The sequence below is a fragment of the Homo sapiens genome, chromosome 1 (genome assembly GCF_000001405.40).
Source record: "Homo sapiens chromosome 1, GRCh38.p14 Primary Assembly".
Lineage (NCBI taxonomy): Eukaryota > Metazoa > Chordata > Mammalia > Primates > Hominidae > Homo > Homo sapiens.
In genome coordinates, this window is record NC_000001.11 from 11,783,611 (window position 1) to 11,806,902 (window position 23,292).

General features: G+C 55.1%; 3 protein-coding genes across 30 annotated transcripts in view, besides 16 other annotated features; 2 read left to right on the plus strand and 1 right to left on the minus strand.

Moving 5' to 3' along the window:
* C1orf167 (chromosome 1 open reading frame 167) overlaps positions 1-5,975 on the plus strand; it is a 27,393-nt gene extending 21,418 nt beyond the window's left edge. For 10 of the 15 annotated variants that reach the window (XM_024446507.2, XM_024446506.2, XM_024446512.2 and 7 more), the window contains 6 exons: positions 564-983; positions 1,538-1,679; positions 3,778-3,883; positions 4,263-4,437; positions 4,539-4,768; positions 5,042-5,975. In XM_024446507.2, the coding sequence (XP_024302275.1) occupies positions 564-983; positions 1,538-1,679; positions 3,778-3,883; positions 4,263-4,437; positions 4,539-4,768; positions 5,042-5,433 (1,465 nt within the window). In that variant the 3' untranslated portion in view covers positions 5,434-5,975. The remainder of the gene's footprint in view (positions 1-563; positions 984-1,537; positions 1,680-3,777; positions 3,884-4,262; positions 4,438-4,538; positions 4,769-5,041) is intronic. The other 5 variants (XM_011541272.4, NM_001010881.2, XM_011541276.4 and 2 more) reach the window with 4 other exon arrangements.
* MTHFR (methylenetetrahydrofolate reductase) lies at positions 2,113-22,354 on the minus strand. Of its 12 annotated transcripts, none has more exons than XM_047421181.1 (12): positions 22,278-22,354; positions 19,271-19,516; positions 17,551-17,789; positions 16,602-16,712; positions 12,596-12,789; positions 11,488-11,738; positions 11,119-11,253; positions 10,748-10,928; positions 10,297-10,479; positions 8,668-8,769; positions 7,597-7,716; positions 2,113-7,138 (listed from the first exon to the last, which is right to left on the minus strand). In XM_047421181.1, the coding sequence occupies exons 2-12, from the start codon at positions 19,504-19,506 to the stop codon at positions 7,070-7,072; spliced, it is 1,821 nt and encodes a 606-aa protein (XP_047277137.1). In that variant the 5' UTR covers positions 19,507-19,516; positions 22,278-22,354; the 3' UTR covers positions 2,113-7,069. The 12 variants fall into 12 exon arrangements, with proteins under 12 accessions (XP_047277137.1, XP_005263519.1, XP_047277135.1 ...); XM_005263462.5 differs by having other exon boundaries at positions 2,113-7,288; XM_047421179.1 differs by having other exon boundaries at positions 2,113-7,106; positions 19,271-19,519.
* Positions 4,114-4,921: an enhancer, noted in NCBI's record as "H3K27ac-H3K4me1 hESC enhancer chr1:11847781-11848588 (GRCh37/hg19 assembly coordinates)". NCBI's record gives its function as "activates a minimal SCP1, AML or CMV promoter by ChIP-STARR-seq in primed H9 embryonic stem cells {active_cell/tissue: H9 hESC(primed)}" and the evidence as "EXISTENCE:reporter gene assay evidence [ECO:0000049][PMID:30033119]".
* Positions 7,686-8,198: a silencer, noted in NCBI's record as "fragment chr1:11851353-11851865 (GRCh37/hg19 assembly coordinates)". NCBI's record gives its function as "represses an EF-1alpha promoter that drives an FKBP-Casp9 reporter gene in an ReSE screen in HepG2 liver carcinoma cells {active_cell/tissue: HepG2}" and the evidence as "EXISTENCE:reporter gene assay evidence [ECO:0000049][PMID:32094911]".
* Positions 16,959-17,557: an enhancer, noted in NCBI's record as "H3K4me1 hESC enhancer chr1:11860626-11861224 (GRCh37/hg19 assembly coordinates)". NCBI's record gives its function as "activates a minimal SCP1, AML or CMV promoter by ChIP-STARR-seq in primed H9 embryonic stem cells {active_cell/tissue: H9 hESC(primed)}" and the evidence as "EXISTENCE:reporter gene assay evidence [ECO:0000049][PMID:30033119]".
* Positions 19,081-19,334: a silencer, noted in NCBI's record as "fragment chr1:11862748-11863001 (GRCh37/hg19 assembly coordinates)". NCBI's record gives its function as "represses an EF-1alpha promoter that drives an FKBP-Casp9 reporter gene in an ReSE screen in phorbol 12-myristate 13-acetate-treated (for megakaryocytic differentiation) K562 erythroleukemia cells {active_cell/tissue: K562(+PMA)}" and the evidence as "EXISTENCE:reporter gene assay evidence [ECO:0000049][PMID:32094911]".
* Positions 19,081-20,033: a biological region, named in NCBI's record as "H3K27ac-H3K4me1 hESC enhancer GRCh37_chr1:11862804-11863700".
* Positions 19,137-20,033: an enhancer, noted in NCBI's record as "H3K27ac-H3K4me1 hESC enhancer chr1:11862804-11863700 (GRCh37/hg19 assembly coordinates)". NCBI's record gives its function as "activates a minimal SCP1, AML or CMV promoter by ChIP-STARR-seq in primed H9 embryonic stem cells {active_cell/tissue: H9 hESC(primed)}" and the evidence as "EXISTENCE:reporter gene assay evidence [ECO:0000049][PMID:30033119]".
* Positions 19,735-19,924: an enhancer, noted in NCBI's record as "active region_173". NCBI's record gives its function as "activates an Ori minimal core promoter by ATAC-STARR-seq in GM12878 lymphoblastoid cells {active_cell/tissue: GM12878}" and the evidence as "EXISTENCE:reporter gene assay evidence [ECO:0000049][PMID:35858748]".
* Positions 20,034-20,929: an enhancer, noted in NCBI's record as "H3K27ac-H3K4me1 hESC enhancer chr1:11863701-11864596 (GRCh37/hg19 assembly coordinates)". NCBI's record gives its function as "activates a minimal SCP1, AML or CMV promoter by ChIP-STARR-seq in primed H9 embryonic stem cells {active_cell/tissue: H9 hESC(primed)}" and the evidence as "EXISTENCE:reporter gene assay evidence [ECO:0000049][PMID:30033119]".
* Positions 20,225-20,284: an enhancer, noted in NCBI's record as "active region_174". NCBI's record gives its function as "activates an Ori minimal core promoter by ATAC-STARR-seq in GM12878 lymphoblastoid cells {active_cell/tissue: GM12878}" and the evidence as "EXISTENCE:reporter gene assay evidence [ECO:0000049][PMID:35858748]".
* Positions 22,039-22,088: a silencer, noted in NCBI's record as "silent region_272". NCBI's record gives its function as "represses an Ori minimal core promoter by ATAC-STARR-seq in GM12878 lymphoblastoid cells {active_cell/tissue: GM12878}" and the evidence as "EXISTENCE:reporter gene assay evidence [ECO:0000049][PMID:35858748]".
* Positions 22,109-22,158: a silencer, noted in NCBI's record as "silent region_273". NCBI's record gives its function as "represses an Ori minimal core promoter by ATAC-STARR-seq in GM12878 lymphoblastoid cells {active_cell/tissue: GM12878}" and the evidence as "EXISTENCE:reporter gene assay evidence [ECO:0000049][PMID:35858748]".
* Positions 22,226-23,211: an enhancer, noted in NCBI's record as "H3K27ac hESC enhancer chr1:11865893-11866878 (GRCh37/hg19 assembly coordinates)". NCBI's record gives its function as "activates a minimal SCP1, AML or CMV promoter by ChIP-STARR-seq in naive and primed H9 embryonic stem cells {active_cell/tissue: H9 hESC(naive and primed)}" and the evidence as "EXISTENCE:reporter gene assay evidence [ECO:0000049][PMID:30033119]".
* Positions 22,409-22,518: an enhancer, noted in NCBI's record as "active region_175". NCBI's record gives its function as "activates an Ori minimal core promoter by ATAC-STARR-seq in GM12878 lymphoblastoid cells {active_cell/tissue: GM12878}" and the evidence as "EXISTENCE:reporter gene assay evidence [ECO:0000049][PMID:35858748]".
* Positions 22,529-22,608: an enhancer, noted in NCBI's record as "active region_176". NCBI's record gives its function as "activates an Ori minimal core promoter by ATAC-STARR-seq in GM12878 lymphoblastoid cells {active_cell/tissue: GM12878}" and the evidence as "EXISTENCE:reporter gene assay evidence [ECO:0000049][PMID:35858748]".
* The window catches only part of CLCN6 (chloride voltage-gated channel 6), a 36,940-nt gene continuing 36,228 nt past the window's right edge, over positions 22,581-23,292 (plus strand). For all 3 annotated transcript variants that reach the window (NR_046428.2, NM_001286.5, NM_001256959.2), the window contains exon 1: positions 22,581-22,739. Coding sequence is in view for 2 of the 3 variants with exons in the window: in NM_001286.5 (NP_001277.2) it covers positions 22,653-22,739 (87 nt within the window). In the remaining variant the exon portion in view is untranslated. The remainder of the gene's footprint in view (positions 22,740-23,292) is intronic.
* Positions 22,829-22,878: a silencer, noted in NCBI's record as "silent region_274". NCBI's record gives its function as "represses an Ori minimal core promoter by ATAC-STARR-seq in GM12878 lymphoblastoid cells {active_cell/tissue: GM12878}" and the evidence as "EXISTENCE:reporter gene assay evidence [ECO:0000049][PMID:35858748]".
* Positions 23,059-23,128: an enhancer, noted in NCBI's record as "active region_177". NCBI's record gives its function as "activates an Ori minimal core promoter by ATAC-STARR-seq in GM12878 lymphoblastoid cells {active_cell/tissue: GM12878}" and the evidence as "EXISTENCE:reporter gene assay evidence [ECO:0000049][PMID:35858748]".

The window sequence follows — 23,292 nt, forward strand, 5'->3', positions numbered from 1 at the left end:
ACCTGGGCATGTGATGGGAGGCAGGGCATGGCTGATGTGGGACTTGAACCCATACTGCTGGTTCCCATCCCCCTCGCAGGGCAGCCCCTGCCCTCTGAGGCTGAGGTTGCAAGATGGAAAGCCAGTGCTTTCACCTGTTACTGGTCGTTTACTGTTTTGTGGGAGATTTGCAGGTGTAACTTTGAATAAATGTGACTTTTGACTCTGAGAACGAGACAAGCCCTCCCATGCATCTGTTTTTGTTTTGTTTCATTTTGTTTTTTTGAGATGGAGTTTCACTCTTGTCACCCAGGCTGGAGTGCACTTGCGCGATCTCGGCTTACTGCAACCTCTGCCTCCTGGGTTCAGGCAATTCTTCTGCCTCAGACTCCCAAGTAGCTGGGATTACAGGTGCCCACTACCAGGCCTGGCTAATTTTTGTATTTTTAATAGAGACGGGGTTTCACCACGTTGGTCAGGCTGGTCTCAAACTGACTTCAGGTGATCCACTCACCTTGGCTTCCCAAAGTGCTGGGATTACAAGCATGAGCCACCACACCTGGCCCAATGTGTCTGTTTTGCAGCTACTTCCAGGCCTGGTGTGAGGTTGTAAGAGACACGGGGGTGCTCCGGGCCCAGCATCAAGCCTTTCAGGATGGCCTGAGGAGAAGAGCACTGGGGGCCGTGTTTGCCACATGGCGGGAAGCCCAGGAAGTGGCAGCCGGGGCACAGGAGCAGCGTGTGGCCCAGGCCTCCCTTGCCCGCTGGAGAAGCTGCGGGCAGCAAGGCCAGGAAGATGGGCAGCAGAAGAAGGCCCGGGCCCCACAGGCCTTCCCAGCATGGCCAGTGGCCCCGGGCATGCACCATGAGGCCCAGCAGCAGGCAGGAGAGAGCGCTGGGGCCCAGGCAGCCCAGTGCTGGACTTGGTGCTGGGCTCTGTGGGTGCATGAGTCCTGTCGGGGCCAGGTCAGCCGAGCCCATGCTTCCTGGAAGCCGCGAGCCTGGTGAGTGCTGTGGTCTAAGTGCAGCCCCACTCTGTGCTTCCAGCTCAGGCCTCAAGCCTGTTTTTGGCAGGGGTAGAGCGTAATTCATGGCTGGGTGGCAGGGCAAAGGCTCAAGAGGGTGGTTGGGGGTGACAGGGAGAGGCCGCCCTGGCCATCTAGTCCTGGGCCACATCCTGACACCGCCTCTTGCTGTGTGTCCCCTCCTTGGGGAAGTCTCTAATGGTCATGCCTTGCAGTCACCAGCACAGCCAGCCACTCAGCAAGCGCCATAAACGCGCTCTTGCCAGGGAAGGGGAGGCAAAGTGGCACTGGCAGGACTGTCCCCTCTCTGCCCCTAAACAGGATGCTTGTCCCCGTCTGTGATTTTCTCCTTCCAGGTCGCTCTCCATCCTGTTTACCCAGATTCTCCCTCCAGAAAAGGGAGTGTGGGAGGTGGGTGGGCCCCAGCCTGGGGCTGGGCCCGGAAGGCCCCCTCCCGCAGGGCACTGGGGGGGCTCCCTGCAGAGAGTCCTGGCCTTTATGGCCCTGGCTGCAGACTCCTTCCTCTCCCGCAGGGTCCTAGAGGCCTCGGTGCAGTCGGCGGTGCGCGGCGGTGTCCAGCGAGCCATCCTCACCCAGCTCCGGCCGGCTGAGCTCAGGCGCTTCCTGCGGACAGTGCAGCTCAGGGTGCGGCTGGGACTGCCAGGGGCCGGCAAGGTACGCCCCAAGCCCCAGACTGACCTCACGCTCTGGCCCCGGATGGCCAGCAGGGGGAGCCTGCTGCTGGACGCCCCAGCCCCTTGGAAACAGGTGAAGGGAGCCTAGGCAGGGCGGGAGGTCCAAAAATGACCCTCGGACCACCGGCCTTAGAATCAGCTTGATTCAGCCGGTGGTGGCAGCATGGCTGGATGCCTCCCCAGGGGCCCAGCAACCTCGTATGCACCACCTCTCCCCAGTTCTCAGTCAGCCTCTGACAAGCAACTCTGAATCCATCAGCAAAGATGAACCTGGCACCTCTCGAGTGCCAGGCCACTGCAGGTCCGGCCGCAAAGACCAGCATGTTGGGTCACAGCCTGTTAGGGAGACATTGAAATGCATGCTTTCTCACGGTGCAGTTGAGGATCAGAATAGGTACACGAGGACAGTAGCATTTTTTTGTCAAGTTTTTTTGTTTATTTTTGAGACAGAGTCTGGCTCAATTGCCCAGGCTGAAGCAGAGGAGTGATCTCAGCTCACTGCAACCTCTGCCTCCCGGGTTCAAGTGATTCTCCCGCCTCAGCTTCCTGAGTAGCTGGGACTACAAGTGCACGCCACCACGCCTGGCTAATTTTTGTATTTTTAGTAGAGACGGGGTTTCACCATATTGCCCAAGCTGGTCTCGAACTCCTGAACTCAAGTGATCCTCCCACCTCGACTTCCCAAAGTGCTGGGATTACAGGTGTGAGCCACCGCGCCAGGCCAAGTTTTTTTTTTTCTTATTGGAAAAGTGAAATATGCTTATTACAGAAACCTCAGAAAATATAAAGTAGAAAAATACCAAAATTTCTTTCATAATTCTCTCTACCCAAAGGCATCGGTCAGTCCCTCTCCAGACCAGAAGCAGTTAGTTCTGACACCAACAAGTGGTGATAAGAGGTTGATAGCCTAGCAAGGGGGAAGAAGCCACCACCAAACCAAACACAAAAAATGACACTGCACAGCAGTCTGGGGACATGTCCTTGAAGGACACAGCCCCAAAGATACTGGCAGGTGAGGTAGTGTCCCTAAGATCAACAGGCATCATCATGAATCCTATTTCAGAATGCCACAAAGAATACGTTTTAGAGAAGATTCTAAGAGAAAAAGCTAAGGTGATTTTTTTTTTCAGTCGTTTTTTGTTCTCAGACAGTGTCTCACTCTGTCGCCCAGGCCAGAGTGCAGTGGTGCGATCACAGCTCACTGCAGCCTCAACCTCCAGGGCTCAAACGATCCTCCCACCTCAGCCACCTGAGTAGCTGAGACTACAGGCGTGTGCCACCACACCCGGCTAATTTTTTTTTTTTTTTTTTTGTAGAAATGGGATCTCACTATGTTGCCAGGGCTTGTCTCAAACTCCTGGGCTCAAGCGATCTACCTGCCTTGGCCTCCCAAAGCATTGGGCAGGCCCATTACGCCATGAGCCACCACACCTGCTGGTTTTTGTTTTTTAAATGGAATTGAAAGGAACTAGCCTTGGCTAGTTGCAGAATTCACACATATGGGGCTATGGCAACAGCAGATTCTGGAGTCTCAGGGTCTTTTCTTTCTAGATAAGTTACAGGGCAATTGCTTTTCAGAGTACTTTTACATTTCTATTCCATTCTTGTCAGTAAAGACAAGGATCCCATAAGCTGATGGAGAAACTGAGGCCTCTAGAAACTAAACGCTGGGAATGGCACCCAGGGTGCTGAATTCCAGGGTCTCCTCTTTTCTGCCACAGGCACACATGCCCCAGCAGCCCCTTTGGAGAGCCCCCTCTCTATAGGGTACTAGCCGGGGGCTCAGACTCTGGAGTCAGACGGCTTCCGAGGGATGAGGCCTCAGACAAGTAACTCAGCTTTGAAATGTTTTCAGTGGGGAGAGAAATAGCCCCCTCCCAGGGCTGTGCTCCGGGAACTGACTGAGGGCTAACTATTATGGGCCCACCCCATTGTTGGAATGTCTTCAGCCACATGGGGGAATGGGTGGAAGAGGCCGGGATGTGTCCTGCCAGCTAGAGCAGCGAAGAAATCCCAGCGGGGCCCCAGGAAGTCCAAGCCCATGGGGTTCAGGTGCTCCTCTCTGGCTATTCCTTCAGACCCGCAGCTGCTGGACACAGGCCACAGAGCTGGTGCCTCCCGCGCCATCACTGCAGTGCAGCCTGGGTGGACGGAGGAAGCCAAGGGGAACGGCCTGGGCTCAGAGTAAGGAGACCTTGCCCCGGGGGACAAACGGTGTCTGAAGTGCAGGGGTGAAGCGGTCTCCAGTCCTCAGGGGCCTGGAAATCAGCTCCTTGGGACACGGTCTTATGTGTATTGACCATTCTCCCCATCCATTCCCTCTTCGGAATGTTTCAGCTGTTCTGAGAAAACACTTTGCATTCCTGCCCCGCCCCTGTGATTTCTCTTTGGGCGGCAGGCAGCCGGGAGAGGCTGGAGGCCTGGGGAGATGGGGGCAGGGCACAAGGCTAAGCTCAGCACCTTCCTCCACCCTCCTCACTGTACTCAACTCCTAGGCGGGCACTAAGAGCAGCTGCCTTCCTGGACCCACCTTAACCTCTTGTGACTCAACTCCCCTTTCCAGGGTGCAGGGAACATTCCCTCTGCCCTGCCTTCCAGCTCTGGCCACAGTGGCCTGGACAGAGTAGCTGGGTCCCAGGCCTGCCCCTGTGGACGAGGGACCAGGGACCAAGAGCGCACTCCAGCCCTGAGCCCAGAGCCTGCAAAGCCCAAAGCAAGGCCCATAAACGGAGGCTACGGTAAGAGGAGCTGTGTGTGCAGTTTGGTGGGTCCGAGGGATGGGGGCAAGGGCTGAGGGGCTTGCCTGAGCCATGGCTACAGCTGGGCCCTCTCTGGCCAGTGCTCGTTCCTGCAGGATCCTGGAAAAGCAGGCCCAGGCCCATGGCTCTGCCCTCCTTCTGGCCCTGAAGGGTCACGATGCTCTTGGCCATCAGGAGGAAGTACCTGCAGCGCCGGTGCCTCGAGGCACTGCTTCACGGGCTGCGGGGTTCCCAGCAGGCCAGGTGCCTGGCAGTGGCATGGCAGCACTGGGTGGATGCCCAAGGGGCAGAGCAGCTGGTGCGGACCCTGGTGAGTGGGTGCACCCCTCTCCACACTGACCATCTCCCATTTCACCTCATACTTAACCCAAACCCCTCTCAAAAGTATGGCCCTTGGACCTACTGACTCCAAAACCTTGGGGGACAGGCCCAGGAATCTGCATTCTTAATACTCCTCAGATGACACCCCCTTGCCATAGCCCTTTCACTCTGGTGCAGCAGTGTCGGGGGAGAAAGGCAGAAGGGCTGGGGACTGCGGGGGAGCGTGAGCACAAGAGGCCTTCTCTGCCAACTGTCCCCAAAGCTCAGGGAGTGGCACCTGAGATGGGCCTGGCAGACGTGGTGGCAGCGGATCCTGCGACTGCGAGTGGCTCAGCAGTTACAGCAGCAGGAAGATGGGTGGGTCCTTTCCCAGGTACTGCCCTCTTCCCTGCATTCCACTCAGCCAGCCTTCCAGAAGTCTGTGCCACAGCCACGCACCGTGGAGCTTTCCCTGCTTGCCAGCCCCGGGGCCCCTTCGTTTTCAGGGGAGGGGGTCAGTTCCATTACAGAACACACAGGCTGGATGCTGGAGCCCTTGCTTTGATTTGTGGCCCCAGCTCAGGCCAGGCCCACCCGGTCCATCAGTTTGCGAAGAAGGTGTGGCATGAGGCATGGCTGCCACTCACACTAGCCCATGGAGGGCCTGGGTCCTGAGCGCCCCCTCCCTCATTTGCTCTGCTCTGAGTACAGCTTCCCAGCTCACCATCAGATCTATTCTGAGCTTGTGCATTTGGCCTAGGCAAGACTGGCTGGCTGCTTGGGGCAGAGGGAGGGGCCCTGGGGACAAAAGGAGCTGGGTACAGGGGTTGCTCTAGCAGGCACAGCACAGACCCCGGAGAAAGCCCACAACAATAGCATTTCCTCTCCTCCCTGGTTCCAGGCCTTTAAGAAGTGGCACCAACGCCTGGCAGCCAGGAGCCCAAGGAGAGGAGCTGCCAGTAGCCCAAGACCCTGGAGCAAGCCAGGCCCCAAGGGCCCCGAGAGTGGACAGGAAGCCGCCAGAGCACCGCGGGGTTGGGGGCTTGGGGCAGAGCATGGGGCCCAGCTGCAGCTGTGACTTGTTCTCATAGAATAAAAAACAGAACTGAACTTAGCCTTCCCAGGGAAGGAACCATGCCCCACACATCCAGGGAGTGATGACAGAGGGGACAGCTTGAAGAGCTCTGAAGGACAATAAAACCCACTCCTCAGTCCTAGCTGCTGCTTTCAGTCTCTCCTAGCGGCTGCCCCTCTGCCCCAGCCAGTGAGGCCAGGAAGGGAGTAAAGAGGACATCCCACAATTGCGTCCACCCCCTTGGCCATCAGGCTGCTCTTCCACTACACGAAACAGCCCATCTGCACCTGCCAGTCACTGCCCCCAGGCCCTGGGGCTTGCAGGTGACTCGTGGGGAGCCAGGCCAGGCAGATAACCTCTGGGACAGGACGAGGGGATGAGGAAGGCAGCTGGCAGGACAAGGGCCTACCTGAAAAATACACCAGGAAGCTGGGCTGCTGCACAGGCCCAGGCAGATCTGGGGCCCCTGTGCTGGCAAATCTCATCTTAGCCTCTGACAGGGAACGGGGCAGCATCAGGCCTCCACAGCCAGGCAAAAGGGGAAGGCCACGAGCCCCACCAAGCACAAGGGTTCAGACTGCCTTCAACCCTTAAGGGGCACTTTTTCTCTCAAGGCTCAGAATAGACAACTGTGCCAAAAAGCAGCATGGTAGGTGTCAGCCCAATGCCCATCCAGGGGGCTGGTGCCATGGACGGCTAAGTGGGCAGGCAGGGCAGTGGTGTGCCCCTTCAGTCACAAGTAGGTGGGGCCCAGCTGCCCACCTCTAGGAGGTGGAAGGGTACAGCACTTTGCCACATCTCTTCTACGATGCCACCAGTGCCTGATGCCCTTGCGTGTTTTGCCTGTACTGCACGGGCTCCAAGTGTAAGTTCACTGGGAGTCCCAGGCTGGCTCTGGAGGCTGCCTTGGTTCGAGGGCTTAGTTGGCAACAACCACTCTCCTCGCCTTCTCAGGAGGTGCCACCCACTGTGGTCCTCTGCAGGACGCAAGTGCTCCCCACCAAAAGAGCACAGACTCCTGGCTAGAGCAGAGAGTACTAGGTTCCCATGTGGGGCCGACTCAGGTCCAGGAAGAGCCTGGAAGCCTCACTCCAGTCTAGCTGCCATTGTCAGGTGGGGGAGTGGAGGCCGGGGTGGGAGAGACACGAAGGAGAGTGGAGTTCCCAAGAGAAGCAGCACTGTGGAGGAGGAAGGCGGGACAGGAGTGGCTCCAACGCAGGGCGTCAGGACGCAGGGTCATGGAGCCTCCGTTTCTCTCGCATTCTGGGTGGGCCTGTTGAGAAGCTCCAATGTGTCTTCCACCACCTGCCAGAGGCAGTTGTCCAGTGGGAAGTCATTGTCCACCAGGTTGACCAGGAAGTAGTTGTCGTGGATGTACTGGATGATGGTGCGGGACGGGGACTCCTCCTCATACAGCTTTCCCCACCGCTCAATCCACAGGGCAAAGGCCTCGTCCTACACACACATACCCCCGCACACACGCACACATGCACACACACACAGAGGCAAGATTAACAGGGCTCTCCAAGGGCTCTGCTCAACAGGACATTTCCCGGAATAGAACAAGGCCCACTGCCAGTATCACTTCCCACCCCTGCCCAGAAATAAACACCCTGCATCAGCAGTGACATGGGTGAGTCAGAGCTGGGTGTGCCCTGAAGGCTGGGTCCAGTGTGGCCTTCAGCACACGCTTGGGACTTGGTCCCAATCCCTCCCCACGGTTTTCCAGGTGGGCGGGGCAAGCTTGCCCCCGGCTCCTTTACCTTCCAGAACATGAAGCTGACGGGATCCACTACGGTGGGCTGGATGATCTCTCGCCCAGGGAAGATGCCCCAAGTGACAGCATTCGGCTGCAGTTCAGGGGCATTGGTGATGTTTTCACCCTGAGGGGATGTGGGGTGGGGGTAAGACCTGGGCCAAGAACAACTGGAGTCCCACTGCCTGGACAGCCTTGACTCAATGAGGCTGTCTGGGCTCAATACCCTCTGCCTGCGCCTCCACTCCCGGCCTCCACTCTCCCTGCGCCTCCACTCCCCTCTCCCTGTGCCTCCGCTCCTGGCCTCCTCTGCCTGCATCTGTGAATGATATCTCTCCCCACACAAGCCTGAACCTAGAGGCGTCCTGGCCACTTCCCCTCTCCTCCTTGAGCACCCCCTGCTCACTCTCTGATCCATTCCCTCTTGTCTAGCCCACCTCCAGGAGTGTGTTTGGCTTGGGTCACTCCAGGGGTCTCTTCACTGGCCTCCCCGGCTCTAGCCGTCCCCAATCTCTCTCATCCGTATGACTATCCACTGTGATTTGCCTAAAATAAAGCAGGAACCAAGCCACCCCACTGCTGGAGAAAGGCTTCCCTTGCATTGAGGGAAAACTCAAATTCCAGCAGGACAACCATGATCTCTGCGGGCCTGGCCCCTGCTTAACACTCCCGCCTCCTCCTGCTCATGTTCCCCGTTTCCCCAGATGGTGCAGCTCACTGCCTCTGCCTGTCCTCTGCCCTGTCCCAGGAATACCCTTCTCTCCTGTTGGCCAACTCCTCTTTGTCCTCAGTGATTCCCACAGATGACCCTCTGAGAAGCCTTCCCTGGCCTCCCAGGTGAGATATCCCTCCTCTGGACCCGACAGCATCCTCTCCTGAACTTGATTTTCCCACTTACACTGGCTGGTGGTCACACATTGATCTGCCTCCCTCACTCTAGGCTGGGAGCTCCTTAAGAGCAGGGCCCCAGTTCTGCCTGTATCTCTCTGTCTTGCACAATGCCTAGCCCAGGCTAGGTGCTGGGTGTTTGCTCAACGAAGGGCCTGGTACTCTGTGGGAACCCTGGGGCCTGGCCTACCTTCACATTGACAAGGTGGTAATTAACCCGGAGCTCGTACTTCTTCAGCACTTGCAGAAGTGCTTCCGCTGTCTCGCGGGAAGTGAAAAACTCTAAGTAGGCCTGTGGGAGAGACAGGTGCCTGTCACCAACCCCAGCCCTGCCAGACGCCCTTTCGCAGACACCTAAGGTATCAGGACTACTGGCAGCCATGTGGGCGGAATAATGAACTGTGGCGTTGGCACGTCCATAAGCAAAGGGTGAGGGGAGTGGGGACGTGAGTTTCTCAGTCTGGACAGGTCTGAGGGCTATCAGCCACCCCTCTCCCAATCAGTCAGGGAAGACTCCACGAAGAAGCCATTTCTGAACAGCAGCAACTGGTTTGACAGGCCGAGTCATGGGAGAGAGGCCCCACACATTCCATCCTCCCCAGTGCAAGCTGACAATGACATTGACATCTCCTCTAGAACCAGTGCCTATCAGGGATTAAGCTGGGTTTACTCAAACTCATTTGCTAGAATGCTGATAATACGGGAGGCTGGGCACAGTGAGCCCCACGTGAGGAAAGTGGGTTCAGGGAAGTTGAGCACGTTGGCTACTCTGACAGTAAACAGTAGAGCTGGTCCTTAAACTCAGGTCTTTCTGCTCCAGGGCCTGTGGGCCTTAGATCAGAACATAATGTTAACTCCAGCAGCCCTGGGAGAAAGGTGTCAACTCAGGATAGTAACAGCAGCTGCCTTTCAGGGAGTGCTTCCTGCTCTTACCATGTGCCAAGCACGTTACATGCTTTGTTAGGTTTCATGCCCAGAACACAAGCTACATCCCATTTTACAGACGAGAAAACCAGGCTCAGAGAGGTCGAGTGACCTGCCTCCATAGGTCTGATTTCTATCTTTTTTTTTTTTTTTTTGAGATGGAGTCTTGCTCTGTTGCCCAGGCTGGAGTGCAGTGGCATGATCTCAGCTCACTGCAACCTCCGTCTCCCGGGTTCAAGCGATTCTCCTGCCTCAGCCTCCCAAGTAGCTGCAACTACAGGTGCCCGCCACCACACCCGGCTAATTGTTGTATTTTTAGTAGAGATGGGGTTTCATCATGTTTGTCAGGCTGGTCTCGAACTCCTGACCTTGTGATCTGCCCACCTTGGCCTCCTAAAGTGCTGGGATTACAGGCATGAGCCACCAAGCCCAGCCAATCTTTTTTTTTTTTTTTTTTTTTTTTTTTTGAGACAGGGTCTCACTTTGTGGGCCAGGCTGGAGTGCAGAGGCACAAATATGGCTTACTGGAGGCTCAACCTCTCGGACTCAAGCGATCCTCTCACCCCAGCCCCCTAAGTACCTGGGACTACAGGTGTACACCACCATGCCTCGGTCATTTTTGTATTTTTTGTAGAGAATGGGTTTCACCATGTTGCCCAGGCTGGTCTCGAACTCCTGGGCTCAAGTGATCCACCCGCCTTGGCCTCCCAAAGTGCTGGCCGGGTTCCGTGCCCAGCCAGGTCTATCTGACTTAAAGCATGAGCTCCCATCCGCTCCAATCCATGCTCATTCAAAATTTAAGAGCCCAGGAGAGGCAGGCTGCTCTGCCCTAAGCTCTGGGGAACCCACGGGTGCCGGTCAAGAGAGGGGGGCACCCCGTGCCTCCCTACCACACCTTCTGGAAGACATAGCCCCCGCTGGGGCCCCAGCCCACGATGGGGTCGGAGGACGGCTTCCCGTTGATGTTGGGCTGTGAGTTGATGGTGAGGATGCCCTGGCGGTTCACCCGCAGCAGCTCCTCCTTCAGCAGGCTGGTCTCAGCCGCCAGGGGCTCATCGTTCCAGGGCAGGCAAGTCACCTGGGAGAGACGGTGAGCTGGCTGGGGCGACCATCAGGTTTGGCACCCTGAGTCCCTCTCACGGCCCCCAACAAAGACCCAGCCTGTCTTTGCCTCCCTAAGCCCTTCCAGGTGGAGGTCTCCCAACTTACCCTTCTCCCTTTGCCATGTCCACAGCATGGAGGGGAGGGCACAGGATGGGGAAGTCACAGCCCCGCAGCCTGGCCTGCAGCTGGGGTCAGGCCAGGGGCAGGGGATGAACCAGGGTCCCCACTCCAGCATCACTCACTTTGTGACCATTCCGGTTTGGTTCTCCCGAGAGGTAAAGAACGAAGACTTCAAAGACACTTTCTTCACTGGTCAGCTCCTCCCCCCACATCTTCAGCAGCTCCTCCTTGGGGGACTTGCTCTTCAGGTAGAAGAGGTAGTAGTCCTTCAGCTCCCCAAAGGCAGGGGAAGAGGAATTGCCCCTGGCAGAGGGGTGCCCAGAGGTCAGGGCACACTCCTGACAGAGGGCAGTGCCACCACATGCCCAGGAGGCCATTCCTGTAAATTCTGCCCCTGACTCCTCCCAGGTCAACCACAAGCATGCAAACTTCTTCTGCCCTCCCGCTCCCAAGAACAAAGATGTATTTGCAAGGAAGGTCTGCAGGCCCTCACCAGCGGCCGTTAGGGAACTCGTCCCACTCCTGGGTACGGTAGATGTAACTCTTTGGTCTGGAGGCCCAGAAGATGGGACGTACATCTTCCTCTCGGCGCTTGGGGTGGGCGCTGAGAGCCCAGGGTAGGGGACGCCTGGGTGAGGATGGGGACAGAGAATTGAGACAAGGGATTGGCTAGAGGGAGCCGGAAGCAGGGGAGCACCCCTGAGGCTGAGTTCTTCCATCTGATGCCCTCTGAGACTGGAGCCTTCGATGTGCCCAGCTAGCCATGGCACAGACATCCATCTGTACCACCGTGGGGAGCCAGCACTGCAGCCGGGGCTGCTCTTGGACCCTCCTCTGGGGATCTCTGGGCCACTGCCCTCACCTGGGGTCCTCAGTCCACATCCCCAGGCGCTTCAGCACCTCTGTGGTAGCCATCTCGCGGTTGAGGGTGTAGAAGTGGAGGCCTGGCACCAAGCCACTGGCCAGAAGCTCCTGGCACAGGCTCACGGCCAGCTCGATGCCATAGTTGCGGATGGCAGCATCGTTGTCTTTGATTGGCTCAATCACGTCCTTGATCTCCTGTGGCACCTCCAGCTTGGACAGCTTCACAAGCTGCCGAAGGGAGTGGTAGCCCTGTCCAAGACATGAGGGGCTGTGGCGGCTGCTGGCCAGCCCGTCTCCCACCCTAAATACTTCTCCCCCTTCCATCATCCATGCCAACCACAGTGTCAGGCAGAGGGACCCACGAAAGTCCGATCATATTCTAGGAGCACACCTGGGCTTGGCCTGCCGTTTTCTCCTCTTTTTTCTGTTTTTAGAGACTGAGTCTCACTGCTCTCAAACGCCAGGGCTCAAGCCATCCTCCTGCCTCAGCTTCTCAAGTAGCCGGGACTACAGGCACGTGCCACTATGCCCAGCTTTCCCACTTTTTACAGAGTAGAGCAGCTGCCCTAAGCATTCCAGCCTTGGGTTGAGCCAGCCTTTTAGCCCTAGATGTGTCTGTTGGTAACATGGTGTCATCTAACCCAGCTGTTCCCATGCTGCACTGATCATCCGAATCACCTGCCAAGCTCAAGAAGTAAAACACACATTCCGAGGACCTCCCTCAGATTTACTGAGTGAGAACCTCCAGGGGTGGGACCTGGAGATCCACTTTTTGAAAAAGCTTATCAAGTGGTTCTGATGACAGCCACCTTTGGGAAACACTGATTTAAGCAGGATTTGTAATGAGAATTAGAATCCCTTTTGGTGATGCTTGTTGGCCAAAGTACAACAAACCCCTCAACAGACACTGTTGCTGGGTTTTGGGGGGAAAATTAGAGGTAACCAAAATGGGGTGGCCAAGCAACGCTGTGCAAGTTCTGGACCTGAGAGGAGATCTGGGAAGAACTCAGCGAACTCAGCACTCCACCCAGAGCCCCCAGCCTGTGCGAGGACGGTGCGGTGAGAGTGGGGTGGAGGGAGCTTATGGGCTCTCCTGGGCCCCTCACCTGGATGGGAAAGATCCCGGGGACGATGGGGCAAGTGATGCCCATGTCGGTGCATGCCTTCACAAAGCGGAAGAATGTGTCAGCCTCAAAGAAAAGCTGCGTGATGATGAAATCGGCTCCCGCAGACACCTTCTCCTTCAAGTGCTTCAGGTCAGCCTCAAAGCTCCCTGCTTCGGGGTGGCCTTTGGGGTAACCTGCCAATAGGGATGACAGTCAGGAGAGGCTGGCCTCCACCTGTTCAAGGCGAGGGATGAAGAGACCACAGGGACTGGGCAGAGAGAGTCCTCTGCTTTGGGGGCTCTGATCTTGCACCTTCCAACAGCACAGCACAGCCTGAACTAAAACAGTGAGTGGCTGGGCTCATGACTGATATGCTTCTGACCCCAGAGATGACTCTCAGGGGAGGTGGCTCAGAGCCCAGTTCCAAGAGTGGGGGTGGATTGCTCCAAACTCCCACACTGTCCTGCCTTGAGCAGCCAAGCAAATCAGGCCTGCACTTGGTGGCCATAGAAAAGAGAAAATGCTACAGTTAGCACTGGCTGGGCAGCATCTGGGGTAGTAAGCTTGACTTTTCTCTAGGCACCGGATTAAACATTGTTTTTAATGTAACACTGAAATTACTCAGGGGTCCAAGATAGTGAAAAGCTAAAAACCAAGTTACACAAGGAAGAACTGAAGAAAGTGATGTTTTCTTCAAAGAAAATAATGGATGGCAGGGTGCGGTGGCTCATGTCTGTAATCCCAGCACTTTGGGAGGCCAAGGCAGGAGGATGACCTGAGGTCAGGAGTTCGAGACCAGCCTGGCCAACATGGTAAAACCCCGTCTCTACCAAAAATACAAAAATTAGCCAGGTGTGGTGGTGTATGCCTGTAATAGCTACTCAGGAGGCTGAGTCAGGAAAATTGCTTGAACCCACGAGACAGAGGTTGCAGTGAGCCGAGATCGTACCATTGCACTCTAGCCTGGGCAACGAGAGCGAAACTCCGTCTCAAAAAAAAAAAAAAAAAAAAGAATGAAAAGAATACAGAAACTCCTTTCAAATGTCCAAAGGTCTGTCCTGGGGAAAAAGGATCCACCATAGGTGAGTTTGTTTTGTTTTGTTTCAGAGACAGGGTCTTGCTCTGTCACCCAGGCTAGAGTGCAGTGATACAATCATGGCTCACTGTAGCCTTGAACTCCCGGGCACAAGTGATCTCCCACTTCAGTCTCCTGAGTAGCTTGGACTACAGATGCAAGCCACCACATCTGGCTAATTAAAAAAAATTTTTTTAATTAATTATTTATTTTTTAGAGATGGGGTCTTGCTATCTTGTCCAGGTTTGTCTGGAACTTCTGGGCTCAAGCAATCCTCCCACCTTGGCCTCCCAAAGTGCTGAGATTACAGGCATGAGCCACTGTACCCAGCCCCCTAGTGAAGTTCTTTATTAGTCATATTCTGTGTTGTTTCTAATGGCAGAACCAGCATCCGGTTCAGAGAGCTGGCTAGAGTACTATAAGCCACTCACAAAACAATGAGCTCCTGGAGTCTGAAAACACAGGGGCAGTGGATGCTGAAGACAAGATTCCAGAATTGCTTAGGAGGTGGGATCAGATGTCCCATAGGCTCCTTACTGGCTCTGTGAACTCTCTGACCCCTTTCCTCAATGACTAAACTTACTAGCCGCCTTGCTCGGTCAGGCAAGCAGGATGACCATAGGCCTTCATGAAACTACATGGAGTGCTGGTTTCATCAGCCCAAGCCCAGGGCAGGACTCTGAGCCAGGCGGAAGGCCAAGCTGCTTTGCTCTGATAAGGCAGTTCCGTTCTTAAGAAACCCAGAGTCATCAAAAAATGAATATAAAAACTATTGTTTCAAGGGGTAAGGGAGTGGGGGATAAAGCAATGGGGCTTCACACTTGCAATAACAAAGCTATTTTCCCAGTAGGAATTTCAGAAACAACAAGGCTTTTTAATAGCTGAAAAGTATAGCTACAATACCTAAATATCACCGAACAAATCTAGCATTTGATTACGTATAGATTTTGCTATTTACTCTATTTTTCTATCATGAACAGCTGAGGGCTTTCTTTTTTAAAATGTTTTTATTTTTTGTAGAGACACGGTCTCACTGTGTTGCCCAGGCTGGTCTTGATCTCCTGCCTCAGTCTCCCAAAGCTCTGGGATTACAGGCATGAGCTACCATGCCCAACAGGTTGGTGTTTTCTAATCCACTCATCTTCATTACCCACTTGATAAGCAAAGTAAGAAACCATTCAGCAACTGTGAGCTCACAGCTTCACTAGTTTCCAATCATTATCACCTAACGCCCATCACGGGTGCATATTCCCCCAGTAACTGACTATATAATGGCTGATACAAGCGATGACAATTTAACAGTTGGAAATGTCTGTTCTCTGACTCCTAATCAGTGCTTCCCAGACTTAGCACCTAAACACCCCTGTTGACAGAATGGACATGTCCATCGGGGGTTAGGGACAAGGCCAAAGTTACTCACAACATGTAATTTTCTTGAAGCCACGTGGTTTGTTTTTTGGGTTTTTTGTTTTGTTTTTTTTGAGACGGAGTCTGGCTCTGTTGCCCAGGCTACAGTGCATTGGTGCGATCTCGGCTCACTGCAAGCTCCGCCTCCTGGGTTCAAGCGATTCTCCTGCCTCAGCCTACCAAGTAGCTGGGACTACAGGCACGCGCCACCATGCCCGGCTAATTTTTGTATTTTTAGTAGAGACGGGGTTTCACTATGTTGGACAGGATGGTCTCAAACTCCTGATCTCATGATCCACCCGCCTTGGCCTCCCAAAGTGCTGGGATTATAGGCTTCAGCCACCGCACCTGGCCTTTTTTTTTTAGTTCATATCACTTTAGATGCTACTCCATAACATAGCCATGTTTAATATAAAAATGGTAGGATTTCTCCCAGAATATTGGCAAAAAAACTGTCATCCCAGAAAATGTGCCAATCCCGGGACTTCCTGTCCCTGGTGCACACTGTCTTGCCATACCTGAGCGCTGTCTGAGACGCTGAGGGCTCAATGCCAGCCTTCAGCTTCAAGGGTGGGAGAGAAGTCCAACCCACCCATTTCTGTTGGGGGAACCTGGTCTTGTGGCTGTGGCCAATGGTGATTCTCTTTCCTGGGAATTTGGAACGGAGGCCTGTCCATTAGCCTGGGGAACTGGCTGGAACTGACACTCTGCACACTCAGGAGCAGGCCAGGTGTGTGGAAAAGCATGGGTATCAGGTCTCCCAGATGAAGCACAGATGTGCAGTGGGAAGCGGAGATGGGGGACCCTGTGGCCCCAGAGGGAATGAGGGAGGGCCTTGCTTTTTGACCTCTTCCAGTGCCTTGTGAGGTCTGAGGCCATCTCCTGATCTTGGGTTCCCTGCCCTCTGGAATCCTGTTAGTAAATATCCCTCTTTTGTGGGGTGTTGTTTTTTTTTTTTTTTTGAGATGGAGTCTTGCTCTGCCACTGAGGCTGGACTGCAGCGGCACCATCTCGGCTCACTGCAACCTCCGCCTCTTGGGTCCAAGAGATTCTCCTGGCTCAGCCTCCTGAGTAGCTGGGACTACAGCCGTGCACCACCACACCTGGCTAATTTTTGTATTTTTAGTAGAGACGGGGTTTCGCTATGTTGGCCAGGCAGGTCTCAAACTCCTGACCTCAGGTGATCTGCCTGCCTCGGCCTCCCAAAGTGTTGGGGTTACAGGTGTGAGCCACCGCGCCCAGACCCCTCTTTCGTTTTAAAGAAAAGAATAAGGCCAAGCAGGCTAAGGGCACAGCCAGGCAGAGGAACAAAAAGCTAGGGGTCGATGGTGGCAGGCCCAGGAGGGGAGTGGGTGATACAAAAGGAGCAAGGACATGGTGCAGTTCACCTCTGCATGTCCTTCATCCAGCATGGACCCATGAGTGCCCCTGATCACTGTGTCCTGAACCGAACACCGACAGGCTCTCTGGGCATCTCAGCCTCCCTAGCTCCATCCCCGCCACCAGGATGATCCAGCCACTCACCTGCCACACAGATGTCAAAGTAGTCACCAAACTCACTTCGGATGTGCTTCACCAGGTCCACTGCGTAGTTGAAGCCTCCCTCCTCCTCTTCCCACTGGTCACCTATTGGGTCTGCAGGGTTGGTGGAGGTCATAGTCACTGGGTCTCACCCAACCTCCAGAGACCCTTTCTGTTCCCTCTACCTAGCCCCGACACCCAGGACTGCGAGTCCCTGGAAGGCAGAAACTTCATATTATTTAGGTTTGGTTCGTCTCTTTCTAGCACTTGGTAAGACAGCAGGAGGGAAAAAAGCAGCCCACCAGTTCAATATTCACTGCATGCTGACCCTGTGCTGGCGGTGGAGAATAGGAGACCACCGCTGCTTCTCACCGTGCCTGGAGGATTGGAGAGCCCTTCCCTACTTCTACCTGGGCATGCCTGCCACCCTCTCCCATCCCACGGCCTTGGGGCTCCTGCCTCCTGGGAGAATTTTCTACTCATCTCAAGTGAAGGGGTCTTGTGGTAGGGAGCACGAGGCCATAGGATCCCACCCATCAGGCTCCCTCTTCCCACTCTTAGGTGGCCTGACAACAGCGGGCACCAGAGGCCTGACCGGCTATTCTCACTCCTGGATACTCTGTTACTCTGTGATTGGGCCAAGTGCTGGGTGCAGCCAGCAATCGATGCAGTGGTGTAGGCAAGGCAGAGGGTTATCAGGCCGCGACTGCATTCCTGACGGAACTCCTATGTCGAGGTCAAGAGGTGGAAGAGGTGGCTGCCTGTGTGTGGTGCCCAGGATGACTCACTACCCACAATGCCTACTGACACTACTGGCGGGGATGGGATCCTGCGGATCCTCAGCGTGGGGCCCAGGAAGAAGTAAAGGACCATTTCAGGAACCAAGTTCAGGCTACCAAGTGGCCTCCGGGAAAGCCAGAACCCAGAGTGTAGGGGAGTGCTGGCTCCACACCTCCCCGCAGCGCCATGATGTTCTTCAGGCCCAGCTGCTTAGCTTTGTGCAGATGGCCCGTGATCTCCTCCAGGCGCTGACGGCAGCAGGTCATGTGCAGGATGGTCTCCAGGCCACAGTAGTTCACGGCGGTGCTGGCGATCATCATGGAGGAGGTCTCCTTGTCTGAGCCAGGGTCACCTGCTGGGTGCCAGGTCACGTCTATGTAGAGGGGGCCACCTGCTGCCATCCGGTCAAACCTGTAGGGGGTTTGTTTCTGAAGAGAGGTTCCAGGAGAAATACCATCCGTCACTGCCTTCCCATGGGGCCCGGGAGTTAGAGAAGCATCAATGAAGGTTGGAGACAGACCAATCAGCGTTCATATCCTGGCTTTGCTACTTATAGCTGTGTGATCTTGGGTACATTACTTAATCTCTGTGAGTTCTGTTTCCTTATTTATAAGACACGGCAGATAGTAGTACCCACTTCATAATAACACTAGGATGCTGGGCGTGGTGGCTCACGCCTGTAATCCCAGCACTTCAGGAGGCTGAAGTGAGTGGATCACTTGAGGTCAGGAGTTCCAGACCGCCTGGCCAACATAGTGAAACCTCATCTCTACTAAAAATACAAAAATTAGCTGGGTGTGGTGGTGGGCACCTGTAATCCCAGCTACTTGAGAGGCTGAGGCAGGAGAATTGCTTGAGCCAGGAGGCAGAGGTTGCAATGAGCCAAGATCACACCACTGCACTCCAGCCTGGGCCACAGAATGAGACTCTGTCTCAAAAAAAAAAAAAAAAAAAAAAAAGCAACAACAACAACAAAAAACCATAACACTAGGAGAATATGACGGCAGCTGGTTCCACAGAACTTAGAACAGTGCCTGGTGTACAAACCGAATACTCAGTATATGTGAGGTGCCGTTATAATCACTATTACAGAGGTAAGACACAACAACAGCGCTATCATTTTGTGTGAGAGCAGCACTTCAGACTTTTCACAGCGCTTGCCTGTTTATTATCTCAGGTGAGTTAAGACATCATGATTGAGAGTTAGGGGAATCCTAACTGTGGCAAGCACAGCCTCGCTGTAGGAACAGTTAGAAAGAGGGTCAGCAGACTCACTTTCTTTCATGCCACCCCCCAAGCCCTGTGCAGCAGCTTACAGTTATGCAGACCAAGGCCAAGTTCCGAAACGAGACTCAAAAAAAAGCCTGGATGTGCACGAGTACTTGTGTTACAAGCTATCAACGGTGTATTTAAACATCCTTGTGCATTTAAACTTCAAAAACTTGGGAGTGACACGTGAGACGTGCATACAGTAAAAGGCATAAACTTAAAAAAAAAACTGCAATTCATGAAGTGCTAATGTAATTCAGTTGGCATTTCTAGAGTTCAAGAAGCATAATCCAAATTTCTAACTTGCTGAAAACAATCTCACTGCTTTGTGACTTCCTAAACTGCACTCGTGATCCAGCCCCCAAGTTCCCTCAAAGAATACAGTGTGAGAATCAACATTTTTAACCCATTGAAGAGTGTGTCTAAAATACCTTGACACTGTGGAGGGACTTTTACAGGCAACAGAGAAGTTGCAGATCAGATGACCCACTCTGCCTTCTCCTTCCTGCCCCCTCCGGCTGCTTTTTTCTGCCGGGTTAAAGGGCAGCCCAGCCTCAGGGCTGACAGTTTGCTCCCCAGGCACCACCACTCCCGCCTCCCACCTTAACCTTGCATGAGTTTACCTTGAGATGAGATTGACAGCTCCCTCAGCAGTTCGAGGAGGGAAGAATTCCAGGGAGAACCACTTGTCACCAGATTCCAATCGCCGCCTCATCTTCTCCCGGAGTCTCTCATGCCGCTCGGGGTCCAGGCCCGGGGTGGAACATCTCGAACTATCTTTGGAGCTCTCACTGCCACTGCTGGCACTGCCCTCCAAGCAGGGGTTGAGGCTGCTGTTTCCTCTGGCTTCGTTCACCATGGCTGGGTTCCTACTGCACAGGGTGGGGCAGGGAGCATCAGGGGGCAGGCAGCCACACCCCCGACACATCAAGACACCTGAGTGGCAGGTTCAAGCCGGAGGCGCTGTATTTCCACACAGGAAGAAGGCCAAAAAAGGTGACACTGCCCCCTCCCAGTGGCTCCATGCTCCTCAGCTATGGCTGTCCGGGCCGCCTCACTCAAAGCCTTGCCCTCCGCTGCTGCCAGGCTCCTTGCATGCAAGGCAGCCCCCACCCGGCACTGCAACATGCTCCTCGGTGACAGCTACCTGATGGAAGGTGGCACAGAGGACCTCACGCTGCCGACCTGCGAGGCCCATATTCCTAGCGAGGGGCAGTAGTGCCCAGCTGGGAGGACCCTGGCTTTTCGATGGTCCATCTCTGTCAGCTCAGGCCCAGAGTGCGTGGGGAGGGAACAGAGGCACCTTCCCCAGCGGGTGTGTTCAACTGGGCGGAGCTGCGACAAAGGAAGAGGCTTGAGCTCCAGCCAGCACAAGGGGGCGGGGGCAAGGCTTCCAGGCGAGGAGGGAGGGCTGAGGCTCTAGTAAGGGGAGGCGGATGGAAGGAGGGGGACTCAGGGGCAGAGACTGCAGGGGTTGGTGGAGATGAGGCCAACAGGCGTTCAGGGATACCAGATCACCCTCCAGAGAAGGAACAGCTCACTCTGGCTGGCTCTGCCTGGAACATCTGTTACTTGAAACAGTTCGTGCACAGGATGGAAGGGGTGAGGGCTTGACTATGCAGCCAGATTTCTCCTGAATTCATGCTACTCCAAAAAGACCGTGTTGTGGGTTAGAACTTGATGCTGGCCATGTTCCAAAAATAGCCAGACCCAAGTTCAGTAAGGGCACGAATTTCTCAGAACAAAAGCTGCCCCATCTGTGCTTGCCTTGCAGGCTGCTCTTCTTACACATCACAGAATTCAATTCAAATCATCACAGTGACCCAGCTACTGGGAAGGCTGAGGCAGAAGGATTGCCTGAGCCCAGGAGTTCAAGGCCAGCCTGGGCAACATAGCGAGACTCCATCTCTTAAAAAAACAAAAAACACACCTGTAATCCCAGCACTTTGGGAGGCCGAGGTGGGTGGATCACCTGAGGCCAGGAGTTTGAGACCAGCCTGGCCAACATGGTGAAATCCCGACTCTACTAAAAATATAAAAATTAGCCAGGTTTGGTGGCGGGCGCCTGTAATCCCAGCTACTCTGGAGGCTGAGGCAGGAGAATCGCTTGAACCCGGAAGGCAGAGGTTGCAGTGAACCAAGATTGTGCCATAGCACTCCAGCCTGGGCGACAAAAGCAAAACTCCATCTCAAAAAAAAAAACAAAAACAAAAAACAGAAACAAGTAATCAGAGCCACCAGGGCACAGACAGGCCAACAGAGGGCATAGGGTCATCTGGCAGTCTGGTTAAGAAAATAAGACAAACACTTAAAAACAAACAAAACACTTGCACAGCAATGGGCAAACACACAGTAGTGAATGGGTGTGTGGTGACATGGCACAACAGAGGAAAGCCCAGGTGAGGTTCATTTCTTTCAGACTGTCCACCACTAACCCTGTGTACCTAACCATTTGGGGTCTTAGACTCTTTTGACAATCTGATTAAATGCACTGCTCCCTTCCCCTGAAATACACACACAGGTGCACAGACTACACGGGGATACATCCAAAGACAAGGAGTTGATTCCAGACTAAGAACCCTGGGCCAAAGCTTTCTCCCTCTAGGGCTGCTCTCTTTCATTCTGACCTCAAACTCCAGATTCTCAGTGGGGATGGCTGTGGGGAGTGAGGAACGGGGGCGGGGGGGAGGAGTAACAGCAAGAGCAGCCAGTTGGCTTTCCTCCAGCGTTTAAGGGCGCACCTCGTTAATTGCTTGCTGGAACAGAACCTAGAGTAGGAGGAAGCTGAACCACCTGTAAACCCTCTGATTTTCAAAGACTTATTGCATTCCTAGTATATGCCACGCATGTGCCATATTTGTAAGCCAACTCCCACGATTTATCCGTTATCAGCTGGACTCCCATAGCACCCTGGGTTGTAACTGTGGGTGAAAAGGCCTGTCTCCTTTCTCTTTCCCCAGTTCCCTGAGACAGGACCGGTGTCCTGCCTGGGGTATCCCCAGAGTTTGGCACACGGTGATAGCCAACATTCACTGAGCGCCAAAGGGCCAGGTGCTGCCACTCTCTCAAAATAAGCCTCTGCCACTTACTGAACAACTAGTCTGCGCCAAGCACTGGGATACTAAGCCTACGACTCCCAGAAAGGTCCCGGCGGACCCCCGTGCGCAGCGGGACGCAGTGGGCGCCAGGGACCGCAGTGCCCCGGGCCCAGCGCTCTTCTCCAGGTGATCGCCGGGGAGGCAGGTTTAAAAGGCAGGAGCCGGAAGCCGTCTCGGCGCCCAGGTGGCCGAGAATCCAGTCACCAGGTCACTGAGTCACCGATGGGGGCGAGGACACGGGCCTGGGCCGGTCAGAGGGGCGGGATCGTCACCCCTGGCTCAGGGGCCCCTCCGTCCAGGCAGGGAGCCAAAGTCAGTCTTCGCTTGAGGGTTGGCGGTCGCTGGAAGTGGTAGCCATTGGGAGTTACACTAATCCCGCGAAGGGTGCGCAAGGGAGGCGGCAGCCCCCCCCAAGAAGAGAGGCAGGCCGGCCTCCAGCGCTCCCCGCCCACAAGCACGTCCTTGCCCCCGGGAGGTTGTTTGCCGGCTCCAGGATCTCCCTCCCGGCGACCCCGGCCTCGCCGTCACTCACCCTCCAGTCCCGGGTGACTCAGAACGCTCGGCCGCCGGCCGCACCACTGTGGCCGCTGCAGGGGCGGGGAACGCAGTGAAGGGGCGCGGCGCAGGTGTCAGGTTGCTGGAGAGGCGGGCCTACAGGGCGGAAACCACCGGCGCGGGTGACCGGAAGCCCCGCCCCCAACATGGCCGTGCCCACAGGTCTCGTTGGAGGCCGTGCCTTTATCGTCATGTGACGCGAGTCCTCGCCCCACCCGTCTGCAGCCACTCCTGGTCTCAGTCCCAGAGCTCGAGAGGGCCACGTGACCGTCCCGGGGCCAGTCACGTGAGGCGCAGATCCTGGCTGGGAGGGGGTTGGTAGAGGGGTCCAGAGTGGCAGTAAAGGAGGAAGATGGCGGGGTGCAGGGGGTCTCTGTGCTGCTGCTGCAGGTGGTGCTGCTGCTGCGGTGAGCGTGAGACCCGCACCCCCGAGGAGCTGGTAAGAAGCCGGCGGAGTCGGCCTGGGGAGGGGGCGGTTGCTAAGGGACTGAGAGAGGCGTTGCCGGGGGTGGGGCCGGGCCAATCTGGGCCCGCAGGTGGCAGCGGGTGGGGCCTGGGGACCGCAGCCAGGGCTCTCGAAGCGTCTACCCTGCTTCACGTGCCTAAGTCTGGGGTCTTTTCTCATAACCCCTCCTGGAATCTGAGGGAGAATCCAGGCCAGCTCCAGTAAATCCCACCCATGTTTCCTTTTATTTCCATCTGAAAAGAGTTTGGAATGAAACAAGCGTTTTCAGAATGAGCTTCCTCACAGGACTTTGTGCTTATCATGCTGCTGTTTTAGCTTCTCCAGTCCTTTCTCACTCTATCCCTCACCCTTTCTGGGTCACTGACAGTCCAGCTTCCCCCTGCAAAGCATCCTGGGAAAACTTGAGTTGTGTTCCCAGAGTTGACAAGTCCTTTCTGATTTCAGATACGTCACACTGTCAAATGGAACCTGCATTTTTACCCCCCTTTTCAGCTGGCGTTGGACATCTTTGAGGTGTCCTGAAGAG

Excerpts from the sequence above, each read along its gene's own strand:
- MTHFR (NM_001330358.2), bottom strand. The coding sequence starts at position 19,904 with ATGGACCATCGAAAAGCCAGGGTCCTCCCAGCTGGGCACTACTGCCCC. Across the intron at positions 12,790-16,601 it reads CTTTGACATCTGTGTGGCAG|GTTACCCCAAAGGCCACCCC; the intron begins GTGAGTGGCTGG and ends CCCTATTGGCAG. Across the intron at positions 10,480-10,747 it reads CAAACCGGAATGGTCACAAA|GTGACTTGCCTGCCCTGGAA; the intron begins GTGAGTGATGCT and ends CGTCTCTCCCAG.